This window comes from Homo sapiens, chromosome 11, assembly GCF_000001405.40.
Source record: "Homo sapiens chromosome 11, GRCh38.p14 Primary Assembly".
NCBI classification, from domain to species: domain Eukaryota; kingdom Metazoa; phylum Chordata; class Mammalia; order Primates; family Hominidae; genus Homo; species Homo sapiens.
Genome location: NC_000011.10, coordinates 85,345,225 through 85,360,224, shown reverse-complemented (window position 1 = coordinate 85,360,224; position 15,000 = coordinate 85,345,225). Strand labels below are relative to the sequence as shown.

General features: G+C 37.8%; 1 protein-coding gene across 13 annotated transcripts in view, besides 1 other annotated feature; it reads left to right on the top strand.

Annotated features, from left to right (window-relative positions):
• The window catches only part of DLG2 (discs large MAGUK scaffold protein 2), a 2,173,362-nt gene that overhangs the window by 268,149 nt on the left and 1,890,213 nt on the right, over positions 1-15,000 (top strand). The window lies entirely within an intron of this gene.
• Positions 10,509-11,330: an enhancer, noted in NCBI's record as "OCT4-NANOG-H3K27ac hESC enhancer chr11:85059939-85060760 (GRCh37/hg19 assembly coordinates)". NCBI's record gives its function as "activates a minimal SCP1, AML or CMV promoter by ChIP-STARR-seq in naive H9 embryonic stem cells {active_cell/tissue: H9 hESC(naive)}" and the evidence as "EXISTENCE:reporter gene assay evidence [ECO:0000049][PMID:30033119]".

Sequence of the window (15,000 nt, the reverse complement as noted above, 5' to 3'; positions counted from 1 at the left end):
GTATTGCGTACTTTTATTTTAAAACCCTTGTTTTCTAAACTGACAACTAGAAACCGCTGACAAGTGTGTTAAAAATCATACCACAGGAGTTTTGAATTGTAGAGGACTTTTCCGTCCAACTGAATCCTTCACACAGCACAGGGATCATCTGTATAATGCCTGTGGGTAATCTTTCGCTCTGCTTCAGCACACGCCCTGAGTATGCAGGGTGTGTGAGCTGAGTATAGAGAGAATGAGTCTCTCTGATAATTTTTCTCATGTTGTAAGCTCCATCCTCTGGAGAACACTTGGTTATATAAACCATTTTTTTCACACGATAGTTCTTTAGACATGATCATGTCTCATCACCCAAATCTTCTTTTCTTTTGTGTGTGACGGGGAGAACCTCTTCCTTTTTTTGTGCTATAATGTATTCTACTCCTCTGTAGTACTCCTTCACCACCCTACTTTAACAGTCATTGAGTTTCTTATTGTTTTGTTCACGTTGTTGCGCCCTCCCCTATGGTGTTTGCTGTCATATCATGTTTCTTATTAAAGAGCATTGCCTGAACTGTCAGCTCTCTAATTATACTACAGCATAATTACAACCATGTTAAACAATTATTTGTTGTGCATATCACCTCTAGTTGATTAAGAGGTGCTTAAGGGCAAGAGCCATGTCTTATTGATCTTTATTTCTCCCACAGTGCTCAGCATAGCACTATGTACACATCAGATTTGTGATTAAATGTTTCTTGAACAAATTATAATGACCAGCTTGATATTGAAAGGGTATAGATTTTAGTAAAGTAGTTTTTCCTATTCTTATCTTGCTCTGATCTCTGAAAATACAATTATTTTTCCCTTTAAGGTTGAGAACTTATGGTTTGTTTTTGTTAATTGCTGGTTGAAAGGTAGGCTTAAATTAATCTTCTTATACTTGGTGGAATTTTATAGAGTGAAGACATATGTTGAATGAAGCGGATTGCTTCCATTCATCTAATCCTAATTACCACTGAGCATTGAGCTATCTTGAGCTTGAAGATGTGTTCATTAGAGAATCTGAAGTGAACTCCACCCATTGGGACATGAGGTTAAAAGCCAACTTAATGAGACTGTGTAAATTATTCGTGTGATAACAATGTCTTTGCATAGTCTAGGGAAGATCAAGGCTTTATCTGCTTTTCACTAAATAATTTGCTGAAATTGCATTCCTGGAGGTTTTTAAATTTTTGGTTCTTATATTAACAAATGGCAAATCTAGTATAAATTTAGATAAAGCGCAGAGTAGTGAGTTCTGAAGAGAAAAAAACTTAGGTAAGATAAAGAAAAAAAGTAATTAGCTGTGAGGAAATAGATGCCATTTTGTTTTAAACTGAGGAAGCCAACAAGAAGTTGTTAAAATCTACCATTGTCTTATAAAGAGAAGGGTAATGGCTCCTTAAGTTGTATCTGTGTACATTCAATAAGCAATTATTTATCAGATATCTACTAATTGCCACACTATTCTGAGTATTTGAAAGAATTTAAGATTCAGTGTTTGGTTCCAGCTAGAAGTTTACATCTGGTTCAGAAGACATTATTGATAACACTTGAAGCAATTTGGAACACTGCAAGACAATATATAGCATGTGCTAAATTATACTGGCTCTGATTTTATAGTCTTTGCCTTGAACACTTGAACACAGCATCCCTTTCACTGCCCTGGTTCAGCACCTCATTATCTCTGGTTTTGAATATTGCAATAATTTTTAGAGCATGGTTCAGTGCTCAAATATTTGTTGTCTGAATGGGTAAATACATGAGCAGCCCAGATTTAAATACTATGGAAAATTAGAGGAAAAGACTGGGATCTGGATTAGTCAGTGCAGACTGCTTGTAGAGGGTGTTATTTAAGTTGAAAGCCACATGGGAAACCTGGTAGAAAGAGAGTAAACACAGAGAGTGAGGGAGCTGTGGTTGTCTGTCAAAATATGAACACCATGTAATTGAAGTGAAAAATCCCAGTATCTACTTCTGTGATTTCTTTTTAAATGTCTTGTTAGCTAATAACTTTCATTCCAACTATTTTTTTAAAAAAGTTTACAGTCAGGTGCCATGGTTGAAAAGTCATTTTTTTCCTTCTTCTCTTCTTCCCTTCTGTTCTTTTTTTTGTTTTTCAGGCGATTTTCCATATTTCTTTTCTAATCTCTTAATCACCATCTTAGGGTTTAATTCTCAGAGGCTGATCCTTTTCCTTTATTTCTAAGTTCTTGGAGATAACCTCTAGCATAGTAGCTCAGAACATAGGTAGAATTTGGAGGCAGACTGCCTGATTTGAATCCTAATACTTCTGTTTACTAGTTTTGTGATGATAGATTATCCTTCCTGTTCTTCAATTTCTTCATCTGCAAATTGAGAGGAAGAAGAGCAATATAACATTCACCTCTAACAGTTGTCATGAGGATAAAATGTGCACATGTACCCTAGAACTTAAAGTATAAAATATATATATATATATATATATATATATATATATATATATATATATATATATATATAATTCAGAACAGTGCCTGGCGTATTGTACATATATAGTAGCCATATTAGCCTCCAAATTCTTACAAGAAAGATAACCTTTGGCTGAATAATAAATTTAGCCACTATTGACTTTTAAGTGTCAGGAAAAGAGGAAGCCAGCAAACTAGATCAGAAGACTTGTAGTCATAGATAAGAATAAAAACAATTACAACAGTGCCACCTCCAACTACTTAAAGGAGAGAGGATATTCTCACGCCTGTAATCCCAGCACTTTGGGAGGCTGAGGTGGGTGGATCACGAGGTCAGGAGATTGAGACCATCCTGGCTAACACGGTGAAAACCCTTCTCTACTAAAAATACAAAAAATTAGCTGGGCATGGTGGCGGGCACCTGTAGTCCCAGCTACCCGGGAGGCTGAGGCAGGAGAATGGCATGAACACACACACACACACACACACACACACACACACACACACACACACACACAAAGAGGATATTGAAAGGAATCTGATAGGTTGCTCTCAAACCTTATCTTTTTGGAGGTATGCATAGTGAAAAGGAAATGCAGGCTGCTCTGTGACTTGCTTCTCCTCCTGTCCTCACCTTCTAAAAATCATTTTAAAAAGTACTAATAGTTACAATTTATTGAGCACCTACTTGGTGCCATTTCTATAAGAGACACAGGCCTAATTAAGTTCTGTAAATTGCCAAATATTATATACATGAATTTGAAACTTAGGTTTGACTGACATAAGAACCCAGAAGCTTCCCAGTAAAATATTCTGCTTCCTAAGCCTTTTAACCACATTCTGGAAACACACTGTTGAGGAGTGGGGGTGGAATAAGTGAAACAATTTTCACTGAGCAAAATGAAAGAGTGTGTGTCTGTCTATCATCTCTATCTATCTATCTATCTATCTATCTATCTATCTATCTATCTATCTATCTACTTACCTACTGTTTCTTTCTGGGCATGCTGTAGTAAACAAAGTAGACATGATTCCTGCCCTCTTGGAGCTCATACACTGAAAAGCAAGAATTCTACCTCTTTTGTAAATATGAAAAAATAAAAGCTTGAGATCATTGACTGATCAATGGACTAGTACATGCTCAAGGAATAAAATGCTGCTGTAGAAATTCATATCATTCTTTGTTGTAAGTGAACACAGTTTGTGGTTCTCTTGTTTTGAATGTCTCACTATAATAGGTCTATACCAGACTTATCAAAATTGGATCTCTGTCTCATAATAATTCCATAAATATTTCTTTGTACTCTAGGAGCTTGCATTTTCACTTTACATTTTCAACTCTCAGTATCAAGTGTGACTCCCTTTCCTCATCATTATGTAAAAAAAAAAGGACAAATTCTGTTACTCCTCAGTTTGAAGTAAACAGACTATAAAGTATCATACTGTGTTAAAGGCAAAAATGCCTCTGAAGAGGAAAAATTATTCAGCAAGGGCATTGTATAAGCAGGAGTAAAAAAAGAATATGGAATTACTATGAGCTATAGCAGCTGAAGATGAAGACTGTGTATTTAGAGAATGATTTCCCAGAAAAAGGCAACAAATGGAGAGTCTGTGGCTCTTCTGCCTCTTTTTCTTATAACTTTTTATGTGCAATATGAAATTGGCTTTAATCTGATTAAATGGATAGTTCAGGCAGTTTAAAATGAGATTCAGATTCTTTCATCTCTAAGCTCTGGGTCTAAAGAGCTAAAGCTATTACCCTTTGGTGGGTGTTTGGTGATCTGTGCAAGATGGATCACAGCCCAGCTTCTCAAAGGCAGATAGGTAGATCAGTAAATAGCTGACAAATGTTGGAAAAGGACAATCTCATTAGCTAGTTGAGCAATTTTGTTTTTAGAGGAAACCCAAGGGTGATTCGACTTGGAGATTAAACTCTTAGTCTTGGATAGCAAACAGGGCCACATTAACAAGGAATCATGGGAAATTGTTATCCTATATATATGGTTATATATATTGTTATCCAGCCTTTGCTGGAGCTTGGGATGCCTGATATTGGACTATCTAGAAATTTTCATTAACATTTTATTAAAAATAAAAAATTAGTCCTTTTGTCTTTAAAGCACATGCCTCAAACAAAAGTACAGCTTTTCCTTTATTGTTAAACACATAAATCTCAACTAGGCTTCTTATCAGCAACAAAGCTGTTATGAGAAACCTAGTATAATTTAAAGTTGATTAGACCATTTATTTCTTTTAAACATGAGCAACTGACTAATCAAAATTTAGGAAGAATCTTGATAAGTATTCTTTAATATATTAAATTCACAGGGAGTATGTTTGATTGTCATTTAAAAAGATAGGTATTTTTGGAAAAAAGAAAGTAAAATATAAAGAAAATAATGGATAATAATCCAGAAAACCCCACACTCATTTTAAAAATGTTTTAAAGTAATTAACAGATCATTTTCCATATATTTGATTTAATTTCAATAAAAGTGCTAATCAAATCTTTTATGCCTAGAAAAATACCTTGCACATAATGAAAACTCAGTGAATATTCAATCTTTTATTCAATCAACTGATCAATTGATCATCTTCTTGTGCTGAGCACTGAACTATTTAGTATAAATTGTGTATATACCACAAAAATTTCATGTATTATAACATTAAAGCCTGATTTATTAAATGGCATATTATAAATAGAAAATATATTGTCAAAATTTGCCAAAAATGTGCAAAAAACAAAATAGCATGATGTCACAAATTTTTAAAACTAAAAATCCAAAGTACTGGGCTATAATCCTTTGGCAAGAAATGTTATCTGTTTTTTTTTTAATTTATGAAACGAAGAGACAAGAGTTAATTATCTTTCACTTTTGTAGTGTCTTCTGTTCCTCTGTTCTAAGATATATGTGAAATGTGGGGAAGACCAGCCAAAAAAGCATTTGAAAAATTAATATTCATAAGAATGGGTAAGTGTGCACATGCGTGTATGTGTGTGTGTGTGTGTGAGAGAGAGAGAGAGAGAAACAGTGACGTTGGAAATCAGTCAAATGTGGTGCTCCTGGTAATGATTTGGCAGTTTCTCAACAAAATGTCAGCATACCAAGTACTAAACCAAAGATCAAGATGATATTCAACCCTCAGATAAATTAGATCCAAATCAGATGATAGATGTGGCACATTTGCTATCATGAAAAAAAAAATGTATTGGCTCCTTCATGAGATAAGACCCAGGAATTGTGAAAGCTGGAGACTTGGAATACCCCTGAAGAACAAGGGGAAGGAAATAATGACTTTATAAGAAGGTGACATTGTGAAAATTTATAGGCCTTCCCCTTTGTTCTTCTCATGCAGGAGAGTGACTGTCGTATATCTGAGTTTTGAGTGATTATATATATAAATAAATGTAGGTAATATCTGATGAGTGTGGTTGGTGTATAGGAGACAATAAATACTTAAATCATTTTTTTAAGTTAGTTTTAATTTATATCAATTTTTACGTTATGTCTTGAAATTATTCAAAGACATGAGATAATTTTTGGCTTAAAACTGCTATGATACTAAAAGATTGAAAGTTGGAAATCACTTTTTTATCTCCTTTATTTTGTGGAGATATAGGGTAGTGGGGCACGAAAGATGAGGCATAGAAAAAAATGAATAGTGCGAGAGGACCTAGGCATACATCTGATTCCTCCAAGTGAAATACTGCAGTGACTCTATTATGATTTAGTTTTTTTTTTTTATTAAGGAATTTCTTTTTTTTTTAATTATACTTTAAGTTCTAGGGTACATGTGCACGACGTGCAGATTTGTTACACATGTATACATGCGCCATGTTGGTGTGCTGCACCCATTAACTCATCATTTACGTTAGGTATTTTTCATAATGCTATCCCTCCCCCTTCCTCCCACCCCATGACAGGCTCCAGTGTGTGATGTTTCCCACTCTGTGTCCAAGTGCTCTCACTGTTGAATTCCCACCTATGAGTGAGAACATGCAGTGTTTGGTTTTCTGTCCATGAGATAGTTTGCTCAGAATGATGGTTTCCAGCTTCATCCATGTCCCTACAAAGGACATGAACTCATCCTTCTTTATAGCTGCATAGTATTCCATGGTGTATATGTGCCACATTTTCTTAATCCAGTCTATCATTGCTGGACATTTGGGTTGGTTCCAAGTCTTTGCTATTGTGAATAGTGCTGCAATAAACCTATGTGTGCACGTGTCTTTATAGCAGCATGATTTATAATCCTTTGGTTATATACCCAGTAATAGGATTGCTCGGTCCAATGGTATTTCTAGTTCTAGATCCTTGAGGAATTGCCACACTGTCCTCCACAATGGTTGAACTAGTTTACACTCCCACCAACAGTGTAAAAGCATTCCTATTTCTCCACATCCTCTCCAGCATCTGTTGTTTCCTGACTTTTTAATGATCACCATTCTAACTGGTGTGAGATGGTATCTCATTGTGGTTTTGATTTGCATTTCTCTGATGGCCAGTAATGATGAGCATTTTTTCACATGTCTGTTGGCTGCATAAATGTCTCATTTTAAGAAGTGGCTGTTCATATCCTTTGCCGACTTTTTGATGGGGTTGTTTGTTTTTTTCTTGTAAATTTGTTTAAGTTCCTTGTAGATTCTGGATATTAGCCCTTTGTCAGATGGGTAGATTGCAAAAATTTTCTCCCATTCTATAGGTTGCCTGTTCACTCTGATGGTAGCTTCTTTTGCTGTGCAGAAGCTCTTTAGTTTAATTAGATCCCATTTGTCAATTTTGGCTTTTGTTGCTATTGCTTTTGGTGTTTTAGACATGAAGTCCTTGCACATGCCTATGTCCTGAATGGTATTGCCTAGGTTTTCTTCTAGGGTTTTTATGGTTTTTGGTCTAACATTTAAGTCTTTAATCTATCATAAATTAATTTTTGTACAAGGTGTAAGGAAGGGATCCAGTTTCAGCTTTCTACATATGGCTAGCCAGTTTTCCCAGCACCATTTATTAAATAGGGAATCCTTTCCCGATTTCTTGTTTTTGTCAGGTTTGTCAAAGATCAGATGGTTGTAGATGTGTGGTATTATTTCTGAGGGCTCTGTTCTGTTCCACTGGTCTATATCTCTGTTTTGGTACCAGTACCATGCTGTTTTGGTTACTGTAGCCAGAATCTCTGGTACACATTTAAAGCAGAGTGTAGAGGGAAATTTATAGCACTAAATGCCCACCAGAGAAAGCAGGAAAGATCTAAAATCAATCCTAACATCACAGTTAAAAGAACTGAGAAGCAAGAGCAAACACATTCAAAAGCTAGCAGAAGGCAAGAAATAACTAATATCAGAGCAGAACTGAAGGAGATAGAGACACAAAAACCCTTCAAAAAATCAGTGAATCCAGGAGCTGGTTTTCTGAAAAGATCAACAAAATAGGTAGACCACTAGCTAGACTAATAAAGAAGAAAAGAGAGAAGAATCAAATAGACGCAATAAAAAATGATAAAGGGGATATCACCACCAATCCCACAGAAATATAAACTACCATCAGAGAATACTATAAACACGTCTATGCAAATAAACTAGAAAATCTAGAAGAAATGGATAAATTCATGGACACATACACCCTCCCAAGACTAAACCAGGAAGAAGTTGAATCCCTGAATAGACCAATAACAGGCTCTGAAATTGAGGCAATAATTAATAGCCTACCAACCAAAAAAAGTCCAGGACCAGATGGATTTACAGCCAGATTCTATCAGAGGTACAAAGAGGAGCTGGTACCATTCTTTCTGAAACTATTCCAATCAATAGCAAAAGAGAGAATCCTCCCTAACTCATTTTATGAGGCCAGCCTCATCCTGATGCCAAAGCCTGACAGGGACGCAACAAAAAAAGAGAATTTTAGCCCAATATCCCTGATGAATATCGATATGAACATCCTCTGTAAAATACTGGCAAACTGAATCCAGCAGCACTTCAAAAAGCTTATCCACCACGATCAAGTTTGCTTCATCCCTGGGATGCGAGGCTGGTTCAACATGCACAAATCAGTAAATATAATCCATCACGTAAACAGAACCAACAACGAAAACCACATAATTATCTCAATAGATGCAGAAAAGGCCTTCGACAAAATTCAATAGCTCTTCATGCTAAAAACTCAATAAACTAGGTACTGATGGAACGTATCTCAAAATAATAAGAGCTATTTATGACAAACCCACAGCCAATATCATACTGAATGGGCAAAAACTGGAAGCATTCCCTTTGAAAACTGGCACAAGACAAGAATGCCCTCTCTCACCACTCCTATTCAACATAGTGTTGGAAGTTCTTGCCAGGGCAATCAGGCAAGAGCAGGAAATAAAGGGTATTCAATTAGGAAATGAGGAAGTGAAATTGTCCCTGTTTGCAGTTGACATGATTGTATATTTAGAAAACCCCATCATCTCAGCCCAAAATCTCCTTAAGCTGATAAGCAGCTTTGGCAAAGTTTGACTGATAAAAAATCAATGTGCAAAAATCACAAGCATTCCTATACACCATTAACAAACCAACAGAGAGCCAAATCATGAGTGAACTCCCATTCACAATTGCTACAAATAGAATAAAATACTTAGGAATACAACTTACATGGGATGTGAAGGACCTCTTCAAGGAGAACTACAAACCACTGCTCAACGAAATAAAAGAGGACACAAACAAATGGAAGAAAATTCCATCCTCATGGATAGGAAGAATCAATATCATGCAAATGGCCATACTGCCCAAGGTAATTTACAGATTCAATGCCATCCCCATCAAGCTACCAATCACTTTCTTCACAGAATTGGAAAAAACTTCTTTAAAGTTCATATGGAACCAAAAAAGAGCCTGCATTGCCAAGACAATCCTAAGCCAAAAGAACAAAGCTGGAGGCATCACGCTACCTGACTTCAAACTATACTACAAGGCTATAGTAACGAAAATAGCATGGTACTGGTACCAAAACAGAGACATAGACCAATGGAACAGAACAGAGGCCTCAGAAATAATACCACACATCTACAACCATCTGATCTTTGACAAGCCTGACAAAAACAAGAAGTGGGGAAAGGATTGCCTATTTAATAAATGGTGCTGGGAAAACTGGCTAGCCATACGTAGAAAGCTGAAACTGGATCCCTTCCTTATACCTTGTACAAAAATTAATTCAAGATAGATTAGAGACTTAAATGTTAGACCTAAAACCATAAAAACCCTAGAAGAAAACCTAGGCAATACCATTCAGGACATAGGCATGGGCAAGGACTTCATGACTAAAACACCAAAAGCAATGGCAACAAAAGCTAAAATTGACAAATGGGATCTAATTAAACTAAAAAGCTCCTGCACAGCAAAAGAAGCTACCAGCATAGTGAACAGGCAACCTACAGAATGGGGGAAAATTTTTGCAATCTACTCATCTGACAAAGGGCTAATATCCAGAATCTACAAAGAACTTAAACAAATTTACAAGAAAAAAACAACTGCATCAAAAAGTGGGCAAAGGATATGAACAGACACTTCTCAAAAGAAGACGTCTATGTAGCCAACAGATATGTGAAAAAATGCTCATCATCACTGGTCATCAGAGAAATGCAAATCAAAACCACAATGAGATGCCATCTCATGCCAGTTAGAATGGCAATCATTAAAAAGTCAGGAAACAACAGATGCTGGACAGGATGTTGAGAAATAGGAATGCTTTTACACTGTTGGTGCTAGTGTAAATTAGTTCAACTATTGTGGATGACAGTGTGGCGATTCCTCAAAGATCTAGAACTAGAAATACCATTTGACCTAGCAATCCCATTACTGGGTATATACCCAAAGGATTATAAATCATTCTACTATAAAGACACGTGCACACGTATGTTTACTGCAGCACTATTCACACTAGCAAAGACTTGGAACCAACCAAAATGTCCATCAGTGACAGACTGGATTGAGAAAATGTGGCACATATACACCATGGAATACTATGCAGCCATAAAAAAGGATGAGCTCATGTCCTTTACAAGGAAATGGATGAAGCTGGAAACCATCATTCCCAGCAAACTATCACAATGACAGAAAACCAAACACTGCATGTTATCACTTATAGGTGGGAATTGAACAATGAGATCACTTGGACACAGGGTGGGGAACATCACACACTGGGGCCTGTTGGAGGGTAGAGGGCTGGGGGAGGGATAGCATTAGGAGAAATACCTAATGTAAATGATGAGTTGTTGGGTGCAGCAAACCAACATGGCACATGTATACCTATGTATCAAACCTACACATTGTGCACATGTACCCTAGAACTTTGAGTATAATAATAATAAAAAAAAGTCCATCCAGGTGTGGTTGCATTCTTTAGTTTTCTTTTCAGCTATAAATAATGAGGTAACAGGTAGTGGATAGAAGGCACTTAGTGTTTCTTTTGGTGTTTCTTTCAGAGTCTGCTGTCTGTCATGCTTGTATTTTATTGTATTGTTTATCTACAAACAGTCTGCTCAGTTAGAGTTAAGGTCTCTGTTTTAATGTTAATGCTGTCTGTCATGCTTGTATTTGTTTATCTACAAACAGTCTGCTCAGTTAGAGTTAAGGTCTCTGTTTTAATGTTAATGCTGGTCAGTTGAGCCTGAATTCCAAAGAAAGAAAGCTATAAAGAGGCATGTCCAACCACCCATTCCAATCATGGCCTGAACTGGTGTTTCTGGTTAACTTGGAATGCCCTTGGCTGAGAGGAGGAGTCCATTCAGTTGGTTGGGGGCTTAGAATTTTATTTTTGGTTTACATGAGCAACTCAATGATTTTTAAACAGGGGAAGTAAATTAATCAAATTTGCATGTTAGAAAGAATACTGTCAGCAGTGTTATAATAATTTAAATGAAAAATAATGAGTGTGAATCAAGATATACTAATGGGGATGGAGATGAAGGGATGACTGGAGAGATGCTTAGAGATATAATTGACAGAACTTAGTGATTGACTGGATGTAAATGTGAGGTAGACAAAAGAATCTGGAATGACTCCTAAATTTCTGGCTTGCACTATTCAATGAGAATTTTATCTCCAAGGAAAGGAAAGTACAGGAAAGTTAGGTTGCTATTTTGGGGTAATCATGGAGGGGGGAAAGAGATAATAACTTCAGTTTGGGGCATTGAATTTAAAATGCCGGTTGGCTGCTAAATGCCTTGGTATAACTTCTGATCATAAATTCAGAATGCTTCTTATGTTAGGCATGGTGGCTCATGCCTGTAATCCCAGCACTTTGAGAGGTCGAGGCGGGCGGATCACGAGGTCAGGAGATTGAGACCATCCTGACCAACATGATGAAACCCTGTCTCTACTAAGAAAGTACAAAAATTAGCTGGGCTTGGTGGTGCGGGCCTGTAGTCCCAGCCACTCAGGAGGCTGAAGCTGAAGAATCACTTGAACCTGGGAGGCTGAAGTTGCAGTGAGCTGAGATCGTGCCACTTCACTCCAGCCTCGTGACAGAGTGAGACTCTGTCTCAAAAAAAAGAAATAAAAACAAAAAATAAAGAGGTTGAGACCATCCTGGCCAACATGGTGAAACCCTGTCTCTACTAAAAAGTACAAAAATTAGCTGGGCATGGTGGCATGCGCGTGTAGTCCCAGCTATTTGAGAGGCTGAGGCAGAAGAATCGCTTGAACCAGGGAGGCGGAAATTGCAGTGAGCCAAGATTGTGCCACTGCACTCCACTCCAGCCTGGCAACAGAGCGAGACTCTGTCTCAAAAAAAAAAAAAAAAAAAAAAAAAAAAAAAAGTTAAGTGTGGTGGCATGAGTCTGTAGTCCCAACTACTTGGGAGGCTGAGGTGAGCGGATTGCTTAAACCCAGGAGGTCGAGGCTGCAATGTGCCGAGATTGCACCTCTGCACTCCAGCCTGGGTGACAGAGTGAGACTTGCTCTCAAAAAAAAAAAAAAAAAAAAAAAAGAGTGCCTCTTAGTGTACCATGCCCTTGATAGGGGGAAAAAGTCAATAGTTATGTAGGAGACACGGGAAAACTTCCCCTTTGCCCTCTGAAGTTTTGCTAAAAAATCAACTGACAAAAGGCAGATCAATAGGAAAAAAAGGCATACAGATTAATTAACATCATGGGGGAGTTCATGGTGATTACCTCAATCTCCCAGTAGAGTACAGAAGCTTATATACCCTTTTATATAGGGGACAGAGGAGAGGGGAAATGTGACAGTTTTTTGACATACAGTAAATGATTACTAGAAAGAATGAATGGACCAAGGAGACAGAAATTAATTTGTAAATAATTTTCTTTGGAATTTGAATGAGCCCAACAGGCAGGCATTGTCTTGCTAAAAAGTCCATCCAGGTCTGGTTGCTTTCTTGTTTTATTTTCTGCAATCAGATAACAGGGAGTGGATAGAAGGCGCTTGTGTTTCTTTTAGTAAGAAGCTTTCTTGGCCAGATTAGAAAATTCCAGAGAGAGCCCCTCCCTGTGCTTCAGGGGGAGAAACAAGACAAGCTTAGGGGGAGCATGATTCTGAGACTAATTTCTGAGGCCTTTCGGTTTTCAAAAGCACTCAGCATGCCCAAATGTCATAATTTGGGTGATTATTTTCTGCACCCCCAAAAGTGGCAAAGTGGAACAAGAATATATACATTATACATACATACATCTATATTGTTTCTTTGACTTTTGGAATGACTATTTTGAGGTGAGCAATGGTGATTTGAAATTCCTTTTTATGTGTGGTTGCATTTTCCTTTTATGTCCCACCTATGATTCCTTTCTCTACTTCTGTGAAGTCTTTATCCTGACCCTTGGCCAGAGCTTCCATATTTCCTGGCTGTGTCCTTTTGCCTACAACCCCATTCTACAAATCCTGACCCTCAGTCTGCCTTCTCCATTCATTGACTACTTCCCGCCTCCCACCTGTTAAGGGAATGGATGCCTCACCATTATTTGCCCTTTCTTTGTGATGTCCTTTACTGTTTTTAACATCTTATTGCAGTCCCATTGTCACAGGCGTTTGAACCAAAGCGACTCCATTTTGAGTGAGGGCTAGGAAAATGAGGCTAGGACTTGCTGGGCTGCATTCTCAGAAAGTTAGACATTTCTTGCCTCTAGATGTTTACGGTTAAGGGAACAAATTAATAGTGCTTACTAAACAGACCCAGACTTGGGAGTGTCTACGTATTCTGATTTCTGGAGAACAAAGGCATTCTTAATTTTGCTTTAAAGACAATAATATCGGTTATTGCAAAATATAGTAATTAAGAAAATTGGCCAGGCGCGGTGGCTTAAGCCTGTAATCCCAGCACTGTGGGAGGCCGAGGCGGGCAGATCACGAGGTCAGGAGATCAAGACCATCCTGGCTAACATGGTGAAACTCCGTCTCTACTAAAAATACAAAAAATTTAGCTGGGCGTGGTGGCAGACACCTGTAGTCCCAGCTACTCGGGAGGCTGAGGCAGGAGAATGGCGTGAACCCAGGAGGCAGAGCTTGCAGTGAGCCGAGATAGCGCCACTGCACTCCAGCCTGGGCAACAGAACGAGACTCTGTCTCAAAGAAAAAAAAAAAAAGAAAGAAAATTAATCCTTTATCACAAACCCTTGTAGCAGAGCACATCTCATATATACAAGCATCGTACCTAAGGTGGACGCGTTCCTCCTCTGACTTTCAGGAACGTCCTACTCTGTCTATGGAGTAGCTGTTCTTTCACCACTTTACTTTCTTAATATACTTGCTTTTACTTTGCACTGTGGACTCGCCCTGAATTCTTTCTTGTACGAGATCCAAGAACCCTCTTTTGGGGTCTGGATAGGGACCTCTTCCCTGTAACACCATGAATCTCATTTGTCGAAGCACACAAACCAGATTTGGCGTTTGTTTTTTTTAAAGCAATAGTTATCATATGTGATCAACTAACTTTTGCTCTGGAGAAGGCAACACAAAGGCATGCAGCTGTGCTCTTTGGGGTAACAATTCTCAATGGTAATTTTTCTAAAACCTGTCATCTTGATCCTATTATCAGGCTAATGGGGGTAATAATTTCAGGCAAGTAGAAAGAGGGATGAAAGAGGGATGATTGCTGCTTTTTAGGCAGACCAGTTAAGGATGTATTTTATGGGAATATGAAAGGTCTTGCAGCCATGCAGCATGGCCCAGTGAAAGGATAATGGACTTTCCAGACAGACCTAATTTGAATCCTGGTTCCATTTCTGCCAGGTGTGTGATATCATGCAAATTCCTCAACTTCTGTATGTCTCAGATTTCTCAGAGGGTTGTTGTGAAATTCAAAATAAAAAATATGTGTAAAACTATGTACTACCTGACATCTGGTAGTGGTTCAACAATGTGTAAATTTCCTTTTCTTCTTAACGTCACTATCAAGCCACACCCTATGTACTTGCCTGTTCTTTTGAATTGGGGAGTCGGGGGTTCTCCCTTTGGAGAATTAAGCAATATTGTGCCCCAAGGAGCACCAAGACATGCCATACTTCCACAAAAGCTATTGATTACTGTAAATATCTTTCTAAGGAATGA